Genomic DNA, 17268 nt, shown 5'->3' with positions numbered 1-17268 from the left:
TGCCTGCCTGATCTTCTTTCCTTACTCAGCATGGAGTCCTTACTCCACTCTAATTTGGCACTGCAGACCTCTGGTGCCCTGACTTTTGTGCCGTCTCTCCCTACCAGCTACACTATGTCCCCAGATATCCAGTACAGGCTGGATATCTGTCTCCTGCCCCAGTATTTGGGAGCTGCTTCAGTACCAGCGACTGTGTTTGAGCCCTTACATGCTGCTGGTGCCCACATGGAACCTGGCACAGAGGGGAGTCTGTTGAGTGTTTATGGGGCATGTCCACAGACAGGGCAGAAGAGAAAGAGAGGATCACCCCTTACTGCGAGCTTCCCAGCTGCAAGCAGGCACTGTGCAGCCAGCATCACACTGCACACATTTAATAGTCATAGAGCACCCCTGGGTGCCAGGCCCTGTGCCATGCCCTGGCACACAGCAGTGAATGAGACAGACACAGTCCCTGCCTCAGGGAGCTGACACTTCTAGTAGGGGAAGTCAGACAAACATCAAGTAAATCAGCCATCACAGATTATATACTGTTGTTCAAGACTTAGGGAGAAAATGAACAGGGAGATATAATTAAGAGTAAAGGGAATTAGGCCAGGCATGGTGGCTCACACCTGTAATCCTAGCACCTTGGGAGGCAGAGGTGGGTGGATTGCCTGAGCTCAGAAGTTCAAGACCAGCCTTGAACACGGTGAAACCCTGTCTCTACTAAAATACAAAAAATTAGCTAGGTGTGGCAGCATGTGCCGGTAATCCCAGCTACTTGGGAGGCTGAGACAGGAGAATCACTTGAACCCAGGAGGCAGAGGTTGCAGTGAGCCAAGATTGTGCCATTGCACTCCAGCCTCAGTGACAGAGTGAGACTCTGTCTCAAAAAAAAAATAATAATAATAAAGGGAATTAGCAATGGGGATGACTAGAGAGGGTGGCCAGGCAGGCCCTTCTAAGGTGAGACTGGAAGGATAAAGGATGAGGTGTACACAAATCTTCCGAAATAGATTTTAGGTTAGGAGAATGGCAGGTGCAAAGGCCCTGAGGTGGAAGAGAATATGATCCTCATGGGTTTAGGACAGGGATTATGTCTAGCAGGTGCAGCTGTGTATTCCCAGCACTGTAAATAGAACGTAGTGCACACTAGGACTCAATATTTGCTAAATGAGGGAAGACTGCCTTCTAAAGCTTCAGGCCTAGCTCTCAAAGCTCTCCCAGAGCCTGCGATTCCCCTCACCTCATCTAACCCCACATTCTCACTCTTAATACACTGCAGAGGGAGGAATTGTGGCCCATTTCAGGGAGACATGAGGATGGAGGAGATTAGGACAGGCCTGGGAAGCCTAGTAGAAGAGCTGAGATTTGATATGGGGGGAAATGGGGAGTTAGCAAAGGTTCTTGACCAGGGAGTGAACTCCCCGCAGGGCTTGTTCCACGGCTGATCTTTGGAAGATCCCTGAGAGGCCCCAGCTCATAGCCAAGCCTGGCTTGTCAAAGAGGAGTGTCTGGAAATTTCAGGACAGTGGGGAAATGGAACAGATGCTTAGCACGGAGGGTGTCATGGAGGCAGAGTCTGCCTGAGTCAGCGTTCTGGGTATCTAGTGCTGCGTTACCCATCACCCCTGAACACACTGGCATCAAACAGTCATTCATTGCATTCACATATTGTGTGGGGCAGGAATCCAGAAGGGCACAGTGGGTAGATTTGTCTGTGCTCCACGGTGTCTGGGGCCTCAGATGGAAGACTTGATGGCCAGGGGCTGGACTGATTCCCTCATGGGTCTGGTGGTTGATGCTGACTGTTGGCTGGGACCCCAGCTGGGTAAATGTCGGCCAGAACATTTACCTCTGGCTTTTCCAGGGGGCCTGGGCTTCCTTACACCGTGGTCGTCTGGTTCCCAGGGTGAGTGTCTCAAGACAAAGAGCCAGAGAGAAGCTGTATTGTCTTTTCTTACCCACCCTTGGAAGTTACACAGTCACCTCTGCTGCGTTCTATTCATCAAGGCAGTCACAAAGTCCTGCCAGTCTCCAGGGGAGGAGAAATAAACTCTCCCTCTTGATGGAGAGTGGCAGGGTTCATGAGGAGCAGGGGGCTGTGGCCATTTTTGGAAATGAAATCTGTTATACTCAGCCACCTGACAGATGGAGAAACAGAAGCACCTCCCTCCTTCCCAGGGGAATAACTTGTCTAGGCTCAGACAAGGAATATCCTTGTCTAGGGTATGGAAAGAACCCAGAGGATCATGTCTCCCAACCTGAGGCACAGAATTGGAGCTGGCCACTCCCATTTTCTGCCCTGGGAGACCCACTCTCCTCTTCCAGTCCAGGGCTCTGCAAAGACCAACCCTTTCCACACTTGGCTGGTGGCAGCTCCAATTGTGGTTGAGGGTGGTTGAGTCCACTTGCAGCTATGTTTCGCCTGCTATGGGATGGGTAGGTGGTCCTTGGAGAGTTCATTCTTCCTCAGCTTCTGGGCTGCTGACCTTCCCCCTACCCCATCATCTCTATCAAGGAGAGAGTGCTAGGGCCCAGCCTATTCCCCATCCAGCCACACACTGGGGTCTGACAGCCAGGGATGATCTGATTGGCTGAGCCCCAGTCAGGGACCGATCTCCAGCTCCATGAGCTAGGGCAGGGGAGGGGCCAGTTTATCAGATAAGTAGAGTTATCAGATAGGCATAAGTGGGAGGTTCTCAGGGAAGGAAGATTAGAAGCTAGACAGAGACCCCTAAAGTGTTTACTAATATATATTGGCTTCTGCATTAGATTTTGTTTAATGGCTTGTGGGTTATTTGGTTTCCTTCACCTTCCACAAACAACCCATCAGCAAGCCCTTGAAAATATATCCAAACCCACTCTGTTCACTCACTCTTATGTCCCCAGCCTCATCCAGGCTAGGATGACTGCACCAGCTCCTCTCTGGTGTGTCCATTCCTGCCTCCTTCCAACTCATCTCTGCACAGTGGCCAGAGGGATCTTTTCCAAGTATGAACCACATGGTATTTCTTCCCTGCTGATGGCGCCACCTCCACTGGGGCCACTTGAAATACAGACTCCTGACTGAGGCCACTGCCTGCATGGTTCACCTCATTTCCTCCTCTTGTGCCATTTATTCTGGCCACATTGGTATCCTTTCTGTGCCAACATGCCAAGCTTGGTTCTGCCTTGAGCCTTTTGCACATGCTATTTCCTCTGCCTGCAATGTCCTAACCAGTTCATCACATGTCTTTTGGGTCTCACCTGAAGTTTATTTCTCACTCATGCAATGGATGTGCCAGGGCAATGAGTGGCTCTCCTCCATGTGGTGATGCAGGAATCCAGGCTCTTCTAATCTTGTGGCTCCTCTATCTTGGGGTCTTGCCATCATTTGAATTCAGCCAGGGGAAAAGTAACAAGAACATGGGGGAAGCTCCCTCACTTCTCAAAAGCTAGGCCTGGATGTGGCACTCATCACTTCTGCTCCCATTCTATTGGTAAGAGCTAGTCACATGGCCACACCTGCATGCAAATAGGGCTGGGAAATGTTGACCCTGCCTGGACAGCCACTTGTGGGCTTTGCCCACATACTAGCAAAGGGGAGAATGGACTTGGTGGACAATTAATGACCTTGACCATGATCACCTTCTCAGAGAGGCCCTTCCCAACCATCTCATCCAAAGAACGTCCCTTCCATCCTTGTACATCTCATACCACTCCTCAATTTTCTTCATATCACATTTTATCTACCTACTTATTTGTCTGTCTCTATCACTGTCTAGAAAGTAAGCTCTCTGAAAGCAGAAACCTTGTTTGGCTAGTTAATGCCATATTCCTGGCACCTAGACCAGTGCTTGGCCCACAGTATAACAGATGTTTAACAAATGCTTGTTCAATCCGTGACAGGACAGGCATAACTTCCATTTTACTCATGGGGATACAGAGGAGACCAGTGGCTCCATGAACAGAAAATGCTTTGCTCAAGGGCCTGGCATATAGCAGGAGCCCCATTCATGCCCATTCCTTTCCCTCCCCATTGTTGATGCTGAGGCTGTTTCAGGGAAAGGCTGGGCTATGGTCTGTGAGCCGGCCTGAGGTTTGAGTCTGGCTCTGTCCCGACTTCTGTGTGTCCCTCCTGTCTCCTGTATGGGCCTCAGTTTCCCAGCCTGCAAGAAGACAGCAGAGCAGATTGGGCCAGGCAAACTTTCACATTCCTTGTGGCCTGAGAGTAGACGACCACCCCAGAGACATCTGTACCTTCTTTTTCCAACAGCTGACCTTTGGGAGAAAGTTCTTCTCCCCTTTTTGCTCCCCGTCTGTGGGCTTAATAAGGCTTAATAAGGGGCCTGGATGGGCCCAGCCCCTCAGTGCCCACCAGATCATACTTCCACCCAAGGGCAGGGTTGGGGGAGTGTGGCTAATGACAGGGTCCTAGTGGGGGGTGAGTTGACAGCCTCGGCTGGCCTTGCTGGGCCTCTATTAACAGACCACAGGGGAATGTGTTCCCCGGGTCCATGATTTTCAATTTTTCCACTGGAAAAGGCAGTTGGGAAGAGAGGGGCAAGAGGCTAGACATAATTGTTAATGCTTATGTCAGCATTATTCTATTCACCCTCCCATCTAGTTACCCACACATCCTTCCACCTGTCCTTTCAGTTGCCATTTCATTTATTCACCCAAGCATCCACCCACCTATCCATACATCCACCCTTCCACCTAACCATATACCAATTTACCCACCCACCTAGCCAGTAAACCACACAGCCAGCAATCCATCCACCCTTCTACCTACCCATCCATCCACCCCGCTGTTCATCCATTCACCAATCCATTCATCCATACACACCCCCATCTATCTGTCCTTCCCACACAGGCTTATCCAAGAGCCATCTGACACCAGCTTTGTGCCTTGGACCAAAACAGAGATGGGTAAAGATGTTGCCTGGAAAGCAGGATGGTGGAGCTCCCCAGACCCTCAGCTCTGGTACCAGACAGAGCTGCGTTCCAAGCTTGCTTTTCCCTACTTCCTGGCTGTCAGAGTGACTTCACCTCTCTGAGGCTGTTTCCTCAACTATAAATTGGCAAAGCGATTAATAGCTGCTTACCATATAGTAGGCCCTTACGGATAATGTTCATTGCTTACTTCCCCAGAATCCATTCCCTGTTCTACCAATTTCTGATGGGGAACATTTTCCTACTCTTTGGTCAGTGTAATCTGGGACGTGCCCTGCAGCCTCAGCCACTCAGGTGTTGTGCTCCTTGGTTCAGGGTGTGTGTGTGACCACACTGGTCCAACAGACTCTCTCTGTGCACCCCACCTTCATAGACTCTGGGAATGAAGTGGATTCTGAAGGATGCTGAGCAGAAAAAAATGGAGAGAAACCCCACCCTAAAGACATCACTTAAGCCCTTAGATCCTGCTGCACCATAGCTCCAGCCTGGCCTTTTCAGTCCAGCAAATCCCCTTTTTGTCTGAGCCAGTTTTCTGCAACCAAAAGAGTCAACGGATGCAAACTCAGTAAATGTCAGCTGTAGGGCATGGTGCTTCCCTCAGACAAGGGCAGCAAGCTGAGGATGGAGCCTCTTCTTCCTTGGGGACTCATTTGCCTTTGTGTTGCACACTTATGCAAGCTTGGTTGCCTGGATTCAGGACTCCATTGGGGTCCAAATTCTTGCTTCAGAGAGTCTTTGTTCTGATGGTAACTTTAATTAAGAGCTTTGCAAGTCCCTCTGTGAAGAGTTGCTCCATTAGAACTTAAGAACTGTCCCCAGAGAGGTCGTTCCTGTTTCCGATCCTCCAAACTCCAAGCCCAGATTTACCAGATGCCTCCCTTAGAGGGCTAACGAGCAGGCACTATGGGGGCAGAGAGGTCCTACCTGTACGGGATACATGGATTCACACTTATCCCATCATACCCCTGCTGAAGGGCATTAAATGCTTCCCTGTTGGCCTGGCATTCAAAAATTGGAGAATTGCATTTTGAACACCGGCCTCTGCAAATGGAGTTTGCTAGGGTTAAACTGTGAGGGAGATGGGAAGTGACCTTGCACGGTAAGGGAGAGCTGCATTGGTCAATAAGACTTCCTAGAGGAAGCAGAGCTTGGGCAGCCAGTGCAACTTGCAGATGCAGAGGGAGAGGAAAAAGCTGCCAGGCAGGGGATGCAGCATGGTGCAGGGCATGGAGGTGGAACAGGGTGAGACTGAGAGATGGGCCACAGAAGCTCTAGGTCACCACACCCAGCGGCGTTCCGCTCCTCTCTCTCTTTCTCTCTCTCATCGCTTCACCCCTGTGGTCCCTGCAAAGTTGGGCCCATTTCCTCTTACCTGGACATTTGCTGTGGACCCCCCACTGGTCTCCCTGCCCGTCTCTGTAACCTCCAATCCACCCTCCACAGCAGCGATTCATTCACCCATCCAACCATTCATTCGTTCAGCAAATATTCACGGAAGGGCAGGGACTGTATCATGCAGGGCCCTGAGGCTGGAGCCCCTCCACCTTGATGACCTTGTTTTCCTTCCCCCAAACCCCTATGTCATCTCAGGAGACCACTCCCTATTTCTGGAGGGCCCCTCTCTTTCACCCTCTCTGTCTTTGCACCTGTGCTCCCACTGCCTAGAAGCCCACCCTGCCCCGATCCTTCCCACAGCACTCTCCTCATCCACTGAGGCTGAACTCACTGACTTTGTCTCACCTGCCTTCCTGGGCAGGACATCCCTGTCACCCACCCTCAGGTCACCTCTCATCACAGCACTTACCAGCCCTTATCTTTCCAGTGTATATGTCTTGACTTCCCCCACTGGATGATGAACTTTTGGAGGGCAGGAGCTTTGACTCCAGGGGACTCAGTGCCGAGTTGGATTAAAGGAAGGAGTTTCTATAAGGGACCAAGATAGGACCCATAGGTCCCACTGCTTGGGTGAGAATACCAGCTACAGCATTCTTGCACCTTGGGACTCTGGGCAAGCTCTTCATCTCACTGAGCCTCCGTTTCCTCATGTGGAAAGTGTCCCCCTCTCATGGTTGTCATGAGGATGGAATGAGGGAATCCACACACCACACGACGTGGTAGGGAGCCTGAGAGGTAGACAGTGCTCTGCCGGTGTGAGCTAGTGTGGCATGATCGCTATTGTCAGATAACAGTGGACAGGTGGAAAGGAGGCTGGGGGCTAGCATGGATTCCCTCATCAGACACCCTTCCCAGCTGATGGGACTGCCAGCTGCTGATATTTCCCAGCCGGGAATGGCCCTCAGCTGTAGGGACTTGCCCTGCCCAAGGACACGTTCGTTCCAGGTGCAGCCTGTGGCCAAAGAGTGGTTGGTGTATGATAAAAAATGCCTGACCCGATCCTTCAGCTCCGAAGGGCCATCTCTGCTCCAGAGCTCCTGTGGGATCACTGAGATTTCTGTTGTAACTCCATTGTGCCAGCTGTTCACTCCTCCCAGGCCTGTTTTCCTCACTCCTGCATTGGTCTTACTCCTGAGCACTCTCCCCAATAAACCCACTGCACGCCAATCTCCATCTCAGAGTCTTTTCCCAAGAACCAACAGAAGATAACAGGCATGGCAGGAGCTCCAGTGAGAAAATGGTGCAGGAACCCAGGAGGGTGGGAGGTGGAAGAGAAGGCCAGGAGAGGAGGGGTGGGCACTGGCCTGGAAAGATGCCATCAGTCAAGTGCTAAGTCTCTGGTACATCTTCCAGCGTTTTTCCTGCCCTCACTCTCATTGTCCCCTTGTTCCCTGGTCTTAGATCATGTGGTTGGGAGTGCTTGCTTTGGGGCCTTTTCTTGAGCTGAGTCCTGACTGTTTCTGATGCACTATGAGGCCTTGGGCAAGTCCCTTCACCTCTCTGAGCCTCAGTGGTGCCATCTGTATAATAGAGTTGGGAAAAATTGACAGACGGGATACAGAGCCCTCAGCACAGTGCCTGGAGACCCTGGGCATGCCCCATAAATGCTGCCTCTTGGGCAATTCCTCCTAAAGGATGAAGAAAGCAGTTTACAAGTCAACTTGCATGGGTGCTGTTTTTGCATCTCGTCCTTGAGGCCTTCTGCTCTGCAACCTCCATAACTGATCTAGAAAGTTTCCCAAGACTTTCTAGAAATCATAGCAGGTTTTTCCATTTGGAAAGCTTTGCTCTATACCCTCTTATTTCACAATGGCTGACAATATCAAACGAGAATGGGTCACCTGAAAAGAGGTGTCACTGTGTGCCAGACAGGAATCTAAGAGCTCTACCTGAACCAAACTTTCACAGTAACCCTATGACATGGGTATTATTTCAAAAGCTAAAGAAAATGACATCCTCAGTGGATGAGAGGTTAGGCAATATGCCCTGGTCACACAGTGAGTGAGCAGAATAAGGCTGTGTAGGAGAGTGGCTAAGATACGAGACAGATTGGACTGGATTCGAATCCAACTCGGGCTCCACCATTTACTATCTGGGTGTTCTTGGGTAAGTCATTAGACTTTAACTTCACTGTGCCCTCATTTCCTTATCTACAAAATGGGGATGATAACCCTTACCTCTCTGACCATGGAGATTAAATAAAATAATTCATATACAACGCCTGATGCAGGCAGGCCTTTATTCACCTCACACCATACATGGAACACCTACTATGTGTTGTTCACTGTTCTAGGTGCTGGGGACAGAAAAGTGAACATAGTCCCTGTCCTCGTGAAACAGACATCCTGGAAGCAACAGCTAACTCATTGTTAGTGGTAACAGTTAACTGAACTTTAGCTGACACTATTAGATGGAATTTGTACCCACATCTCTTTGATCCCTCAGAGAGGTCTCCCCACTCCTCTTCCGCGGCAACATTCTTCACCTTAACTCTTATCACTCACAACACGTGGGTTTGGTTTTTTGCCCGTGATGAGTCTCCTCCACTGGAATGTAAGTTCTTCTGGGACCTTTACTTTTCTCATCTCTAAACTGGGATAACATCTATACTGTCGGGACATTTCTATAAGCTAATGTCTTCAAATCAGTGATAGACAAGGGTGGTTATCCTAATACAATAACACCCAGAACAAGGATGGTGTGTTCCGACCCTACCCAAGAAGAGTCAGGGAAGAGCCATAGGAGGCAGGGTTATTTGAGCCGAGCCCTCACAGTGAATACAATGTGAATCTTCAGAGAAACTAGGCAGGGGAACCTGCCTTGGCAAAGCCCTGAAGGCTTGTGTTCAAGCCCCAACTCATCCAAGATTTCTGCAGCCAGGCCAGTCTCCCTCTCCTCCAACTTGATCAGCGCTGATGGGTAGTGGGCAAACACTTACTGCTTAATACTTCATCACACACTATCCAGCCATGGTTACTGATGTTTCATCAAAGTAACAACCTGTGTTACTTTGGGTTTCCTGGTGAGTGCCTGAGCATCAGCAGTCAGAGGCCTTTTCTGTTTAATCTTTCATTCATTTACTCATTCATTCACTAATTCATAAAGGATTTGTTTATTTGCTTAACAAACACTTCTCAAGGGCCTCCTCCATGCCAGGTGCTGGGTCAGGTGCTGAGGCCCCATGTCTGAACAGTCAGGCTTCCTGCCCTGGAGGAGCTCATGGTCTCATGGAGAGAATAGATGAGAACCATCCATGCCAACAAGTAAATATAAAAAAGCAGTGATGACTTCCATGAAGGAAGCAAAAAAGAGGTTGAGAGATGATGTCAGAGAAATCCTACTTACTATAGGGTGATCAGGGAAGCCTTCCTGGAGGCAACAGTCAAGTTGAAACTCAGAAGATACAAGGAACAGCCATGAGAAGAGTGAAGAGGAAGATGTTCCAGGCAGAGGGAACAGCGTGTGCAAAATCCCTAGGTAAGAAAGAGTTTGGCATGCTGAAGAAATAGAAAGAGGCTAGGTTGGGGATAGCAGAGCAAGCTAGGGGCAAAAGAGTGGGAGACAGGGCCAGGACACATAGAGCCTGGTAGGCCATGGAGAAGAGGTGGGTTTTTGCTCAGAGCACAGTGGGGTACCATTGCAAGCTTTCAAGTGGGAAAATGAGAAGATCTATTGGATGCCAGGTAGGTGGGACCACAGGAGGCACCTGGGCAAGAGATGCTGCACATTAGGCCTCTTCCCCACACCCAATCCTTTAATCCCCCCATTTGTACACACCTTGTGATGGGAACTCAGTACCTTGGAATATAATCCCCTCCATTGTTGGATAGTTTGAGCTGATGGAACATTATCCCTTTTATCAGTGACCCTCAAATGTTTTCATCTCAGCACACTTTATATCCTTAAAAATTATTGAGGACCCCAACAAGCTTCTGTTGATGTGGATTATATCCACAGCCAGGACTAGAGTGAGTTAAACGAGGCACTTGCCTCAGGTTTAAAATTTGTGTGCCAAAAATATCAGTAATTAGGACATTTTAATGCAATATTTTGAAAAATTCACACTGAAGCCTGAGATGAAAGGAAAAATCAGTAGTATTAGTCTTCTCTTTATTTACAGTTTTAGTATTTTGTTCATCATGAATGTTTTTGCATTAATTTTTTTCATTGCTATCAGAGTGATGGTGGCATCACATGTCATATCAACTTTGGACAACCCCACTGAGGGTTAGAAGAACAAATAATGTCTTAGTGTTGTTGTGAATATAGTTTTGACCATGTGGATGCCCTGGAATGGTCTCAGGAACCCCACAGATTCTGGACTGTACTGTACTTTGAGAACCATTGCTTTTTTTTTTTTTTTTTTTTTAGACAGGCTCTTGCTCTATTGCCCAGGCTGGAGTGCAGTGGTGCAATCTCGGCTCACTGGAACCTCTGCTTCCCATGTTCATGCAATTCTCCTACCTCAGCCTCCTGAGCAGCTGGGACTACAGGTGTCTGATGCCACACCCAGCTAATTTTTGTATTTTTAGTAGAGATGGGGTTTCACCATGTTGGCCAGGCTGGTCTTGAACTCCTGATCTCAAGTGACCTGCCCGCCTCAGGATTACAGGTGTGAGCCACCATGCCCAGCCTGAGAACCACTGATTTTGATAAAACCAAAATCTTCATGGAGTTTCCACCATTCAATCTTAGGTCTATACCCCAGGGCTCCACCCATGTCTGTCTTCAAGGGGGCAGTAGCTGAGAGGCTGAACTTTAGAATTCATGCTTCTTTCCATCTAGTCCACGCTCAAGGTCTCCCAGAGCATGGGATTCCCACCCATCTCTCCCCATCCCTCCTCTAAACAAACCCCATTTGGTTAATGTTTCTGAAAGACTGAAGGCCCCCAAATTCCCAGGTGTGGCCTGAGCAGTACGGAGGTCCCTGTGGACCTGTCACCTCCCCCTTGAGACACGCCATTTCTATTCCCACCTCTGGGTCTATCTAAGCCCCCAGCCACCTGTCCCATAGTTCCTGTCCCTCATCCCTCCTGGCGTTGTGATTTGAGTGTGCAAAACCTCTCTGGGCTCCTGAAGAGCAGGCATCCTACCAAGAAATAGCAATGCAGGCAAAGAAAACCTCCAACGTATTAAGCTGGCTTCGTTAGGAGGCCAACTTCTGAAAATTCAATTTGCTGGTGGTAGAAACAGGATATTGAGTCTGGCCAGGATGGGCTCTGAGGAGGGCATCTGAGGGGGAAGAAAGGAGGCAGCAACCTGCGGGGGTAACGGTAACGTTGGGTACATTCCTCGGCAACACTAAAACCCACTGCTAATCACAAACAGATTCCTGCCTGCCCAGGGGCTTTCTTTGTTCACTCCGATTTCTCCCTCCAAACATGACACTGAATCCACCAGGCTCTGCCTCTCTTGGACTTCTGTCACTTCTGTGGGCCTCAGTTTCCCTGTGCTATATGAGAGGACTGGGCTAGGGTCTGTAATCCAAGCCTAATATCCCAGGATCTAAACTTCTCTGACTTAAAAGTCCCCAAGAATCTGGAATTCCAGGATTATAACATGCCCAGATTTTATGACGGCAGAATTTGATGAGTCAATGATGGCAGGTTCTAAAGTGCTATGATTTTAAGACTCTGTGGCTTGAAGATCCTGACCTTGTGACTTTCTACGATTCTAAAATTTGAAGAGTGTAAGTCTCAACGACTTTAAGTGTCTGTGAGGCAGTGCTGTGTGCTTTAGAGCCAGGCGGCCAGTGACCCTGGGCAAGTTACACCTTTCAGTGCCTCCGTCTTCACATCTGTGAAGTGGGGGGTCACATTGTTACTACCTTCTGGGGTGGTTGTGAGGATTAAAGGCGTTGATATTTGTAAACAATGTCTGGAGTAGTAAGTACTCAGTAAATGTTTTGTACCTATCATTATTCTAAAATGAACAGTTTCTACAGCCTCAGAATCTGAGATGGACCTCAAAGGCCCCAGAGTTGTAAGTTTCAAAGAATCCATTGTTGAAAGATTCAATGACATACGAATTCTGTCAGCTGGCTATGGACATACCATGTTTGGGCGTCCTTGACCCAGGATCATGGGATTTACCATGGGCAAGCTGAAGAGGCTGGCTGGCCAGCCTGAACCTGCCACTCTCAGCCACAAAACCAATGAGCATGACAAGTTTGGGACCCTCAACTCCTGAGAAGTGCCCTCCTCTTCCCCCAACACTTACCACTGGGGATAACTTGACCTTCTGGCTAAAGGCTCATTGACCTTGACTAGCTCCTGGAATCCATAAAGACACAGGAAGACCATCACTCCCCTAGCTTGGAACTCCATTCCTGAAGGACCTGCTGTGGCTCCCTACTGTCTTTCAAACCAAGTTCTATTTCTCAGTTCTTTTGGAGCCCCTTAATATCTTGTTCACTTCCAGGTAAGTAAAGATAATCCGGAATGGGGAAGGGAGAACTGGGATGGTTCATCGGAAGTTACTTCTAGGTCCAGGTGCATTTGTTCATTCTTATTCACAACACAGATATTAAATATCTATTATATGCCAGTCTCTCTTCTGGGCTCTGAGGACACACAAGTGAATAAGACAGACAAGGTCCCTGTTCTTGAGACCTCACAAGACTCCCTGACTCACTGTAGAGCATTATTCTCAGGGTAGAAGAGTACAGGCCATTTCCCAGCTGCACAACCTTGAACCAATGCTCTGGGCGTCGTTTGTAAAATGGGTCAATAACACTACCTACCAGATAAAGTTATTGCAAAGATTAAAAGAGATGGTAAAGAGCTTGGCACAGTGCACGGCACATAGTCTACAATCCATGAAAGCTGCTTATTATTATTATTGTTGTTACTTCATTTCTACCTCCAGCTCCTTTTACAGCACTTAGTGTGGTGGCTAAAAGCCCGACAGACCTGGACTCAAGTCCTGGGATATTAAAGATGGATAATCATCGTGCCTGCTTCCCAAGGCTGCTTACCTGGCATGTTGGCCATACCCAGCCAGGGCTCAGATGGTAACAGAGACACATTCTCACTTTCCTCCACTCTTTCCCCGAGAACCCATCCCAACCAGCCTCACTACCTGCATCAGGTCCCACACAATGCACAACCTGAGCAACTTCCTTTCCTCTTTGGGTTCCAGTGTCTTCCACATAGGGCCTGAGTAAAACTGGCTCTAAGACATGGGCTGAGACATTTGGGCATGACACAAAGGGCAATAGGGAGCCAAAGCTGGCGCTAGAGAGAGGGAGTGTCCATCTAAAGGGTGTCCCCTGTCTTCCAGTGGTTCCTCTATACCCTTTGCATCTCATCCTCACAGCTGCCAGGGGCTTGCTCCTGCCAATGCTGGCCATGAGTCCCTGGCCTGTTTGGGGGTTAGGTTATTTTTTCATTAAGTTTGTAATTATTTTTAAAATGCAAGTCAAATAGTGATGTGCTGAGCTGAGCAGCGGGGAGGTTAAAGCTTTTTCCCTGCCTGCGGCCTGCTTGGCCCCTATGCTGTTCTGGGTAATGGGGAACATTTTCGGGAAAATAAACAAGGAGGCCTTGATTCTTTGGGGACTTTATGAACTTGACCCCACCCCGACTCCATACCCCACCCCGTTAGCAGGCCTGGTCGCCCTCCCTGTTAATTAAAGGGGAGACTAGTTTCCAGGGCAATTTCAGCTCTGGCCGGGCCTGTGCCCACATCCTTAAGAGGGAGGCCATGGTGATGGGCCGGCTGGGCGGCTGGTGGCCTTGGAGGTAACAATTTGTCTTGAGATGGAATCCACTCCCCTGAATAAAGGGACTTTGTGTTCTCTCCCATTCTCATGCCCCCCTGGTCCCCATGGAGGGATTAGAGGGGAAACATCTGTGGTTCCCCAAGAACAGTGACCGCCATGGTAGGCAGCTCTTAGGCCACTGCCTGGGCCAGCAGGACTTTCTCATGCACACTGGGCCTCTGTCTGTCCTCAGAGCTCTGCCTTCTCATAGAAAACATGGATCCACGCAATCACTGGCTCATTCATTTGTTCACTCAACAACTCTTTATTGAGCATCTACTGATGTACCAGGTGCTCACAGGCACCGAGTGTATGGAGGTGAAAAAGCAAAGCTCCCCCTGGTCATGGAGCCCATGATCTAGTGGGGTCGACAAACCTAAAGATAAATAAGTCAATCAAATCCATTGGCAGGCAGTCAGACATAAAACAAGTTAGTAGAGAGAAAGTGACAGGTGGGTGGGGATCCTCCAAGGAGGTGGCATCTGAGCAGGGACCTGCAGGTGGAAAGGGGTGAGCTGAAAACAGTGGCACTTAGCAGGGACAGGTCAACCTCATGCCTCCACCCCACTTTTCCTCCTCTAAGCTTTTTGGTCAAGGCTGCTCTCCACTCTCTGCCAAGCCAGCAATGACTTATCTGTATTCTCCTTAATACATAATTTGCTATTTTATTAACTGTATCAAATGCATTTGTAAAACTAGAACATGAAGCCACCTTGGCGTATAATGTAGGCTCTTACTCCAGTAAGAGTCACAAAACCCACATTGCTGACACACTTCTGTCCAATATAAGAGGGTGCTTTTTCCATTTAAAACTCTAATGAAATGGTGGCTTTAAGATAGTAGACTAAAGACATTTCTATTCCTTTTCTCTTCTTAAAAAAGAAAAAAACAAACAAAAAACTTCCCCAAAACAAGAATAAGGAGCAGAAACAAAAACTCTGTCTTTGAGGAAATCGAGAGACATTTGTAACCCTGAACTACAAAGGAGGGAAATGGATGAAGTGGCCAGTGACATAACCGAGAGGAAGAAAGTCAAAGCTAAATGGATGGGGTAGGTGACTGCTGTGTGGGTGGATTGCTGCATAGAGAAACAAGCCAATTTGCCTAAAGGCCTCAAAAATTGAAGCTACTAGGTCTTGGAGGAGCTGCTGGTGAAGTGGGGATTGAAAGCAATCTGTACAAGGAGCATGGGACCTCCACGTCCCCAACCCCCATCCTGCCCAGCCAGGTAGTAACCCCACTCACTTCTGGGCAAGCAAAGGGAGGTTTATTCTCTGAAAAAAAGGCAACAAAGAAACTCCAAAACTAGAAACATCAGGCCCAGAGAAGGTGAGATCTTCAGCCCCCTTCACCCGTCTCATTCTAGAATGTCCAACCCCAGGCAGAAAATTATCTGGAGAACCACTTCCAGGACAAAGACCTAAAGATACGGTAATTGGGGGTGGGAGGAGAGTGCATCACAGAAAAAGCCAACCAGCCCCTTTGCACCAGCCCTATGCAACCACCCTGCATGGACCCTACACAAAAGCCTACCAGTCCACCCTCCCCACCCAGTTTCCAGCCAGAGTGGTAATGTGAGTAGACAGCCAAGGATCATTAGAAATTTCTATCATGAAGTGCAGAGATCAAAGCAAACCATGAGGGCGGGGTAAAAGGTCTTCAAGAAAAGAATCCAGGGAACAAGAGAAAACTTAAAATAAATCCTACAATTAATATCCCTTGAGTGATAAAGATATTGCAGCAGTAAAATGTGAACAAGAAGCTCTCTGGAAGGAACAGAGAGTAAGAAACCAGAGATTAAAAATCTGTGCAGTAGATTGCACAAATGACCCCAAGTTTTTTCTGTCCCAGAATGCCTGCCACTTCCCAATGAAACTGCAGAACTTCCCATCATGGCATAGAATCTGGTTATCTATTGTTGCATGACAAACCATCACCAAAATTAGTGGATTAATTTTGTGGGTTAAAAACTGAGGGAGGGTGCAACTGGGTGATGATTCTGTTCCACGTGGTGTTGATGGAGCTCACTTAGTGGTCTTCAGCTGGTGGATGAGCTGGTCTGGAGGGCCCAAGATGACATCACTCACCAGTCTGGCTCCTTTGGCCCAGATGGCTGGAAGGCTGTCTCGACTGGATTGTTGAGTGGTGTGTTGACATGTAGCTTTTCCAGCACGGTGATCTCATACCTCTTCCTCAATGGCTGGCTTACCCCGGAGTGAGTGTCCCAGGAGAACCAGGTGGAAACTGTAGGGCCTTTTCTAACTTATCTTCAGAAGTTATGCCATGTCACTTTTGCTGCATTACTAAGGTACAGGCCCAAGCAAGGGAAGGTGTCATGAACCCTATCTGCTGATGGGACAAGTGTCAAAGGATTGGTGCACATGTTTTAAAACTTCCATGCTACCAGGGGCTGTGCTCCACCAAAAAGAGGAACTAAACCAAGAAGAGGAACCATGAGCTTTTCCTGTGTAACAAATTGCCTGAAAACGGCCACCATTTATTCCCTTATGAACCTATAGCCCAGTAGTGGCGTGGGCTGGGCTCCATGTGGTCTTGGCTGGCTTCTCTCCTGTGTCTGCCGTCAGCTGGTCGTCAATGGCCTCACTCACATATATATGCTGGTTGGCTTGGCACAGCTGGGGTAACAGAGATGATTTAGCCATCGGTCTCTTATACTTCAGCAAACCAGCCTGGGTTTGCTGCCAGCCTGGTTGTGGTCACAGGGTTCCCCAGAGCTGAAAGGGCAAAGGCTCATATGCACAAGTAATTTTCCAGCTGCTGCTTGTGTCATGTTTGCCATTATGCCATTGGCCAAAGCAAGTCACGTGACCAAGCCCAGAGTCAATGTGAGAGGGGCTTGGACAAGAGCTTAGACACAGGCAGGGGAATGAATCTCTGTGGCTTTTATTTTGTAAATTTTCTATGATGAACTGAGATATAGCAGTCTGTGGTTTCAACACAGGAGAGACAAAGGAATTCCTAATGGTATCTGTGCCCCAAGTCTAGAGCAAAACTAGTCCAGATAGGCATCAAAGTTCAGAGCTCCAGAAAAAAAAATGGCAGCAGCATTAAATTATCAGACAGGTTTGTCTGTGAGGAAATCATGTTGAGGGATGTTTTACAGAGTGGTTTTCTGAGTGAGGGAAGACTTGGGTCAAATGTTCAAAGAAAGCTAAACAAACAAAAAGCACTTT

The 17268-nt window shown here is 48.5% G+C and overlaps 1 annotated feature.

Annotated features, from left to right (window-relative positions):
- Window positions 16652-16701: an enhancer, noted in NCBI's record as "active region_17449". NCBI's record gives its function as "activates an Ori minimal core promoter by ATAC-STARR-seq in GM12878 lymphoblastoid cells {active_cell/tissue: GM12878}" and the evidence as "EXISTENCE:reporter gene assay evidence [ECO:0000049][PMID:35858748]".

Source organism: Homo sapiens, chromosome 20, assembly GCF_000001405.40.
Source record: "Homo sapiens chromosome 20, GRCh38.p14 Primary Assembly".
NCBI lineage: Eukaryota > Metazoa > Chordata > Mammalia > Primates > Hominidae > Homo > Homo sapiens.
This window is presented reverse-complemented; position numbering and strand designations above follow the sequence as displayed.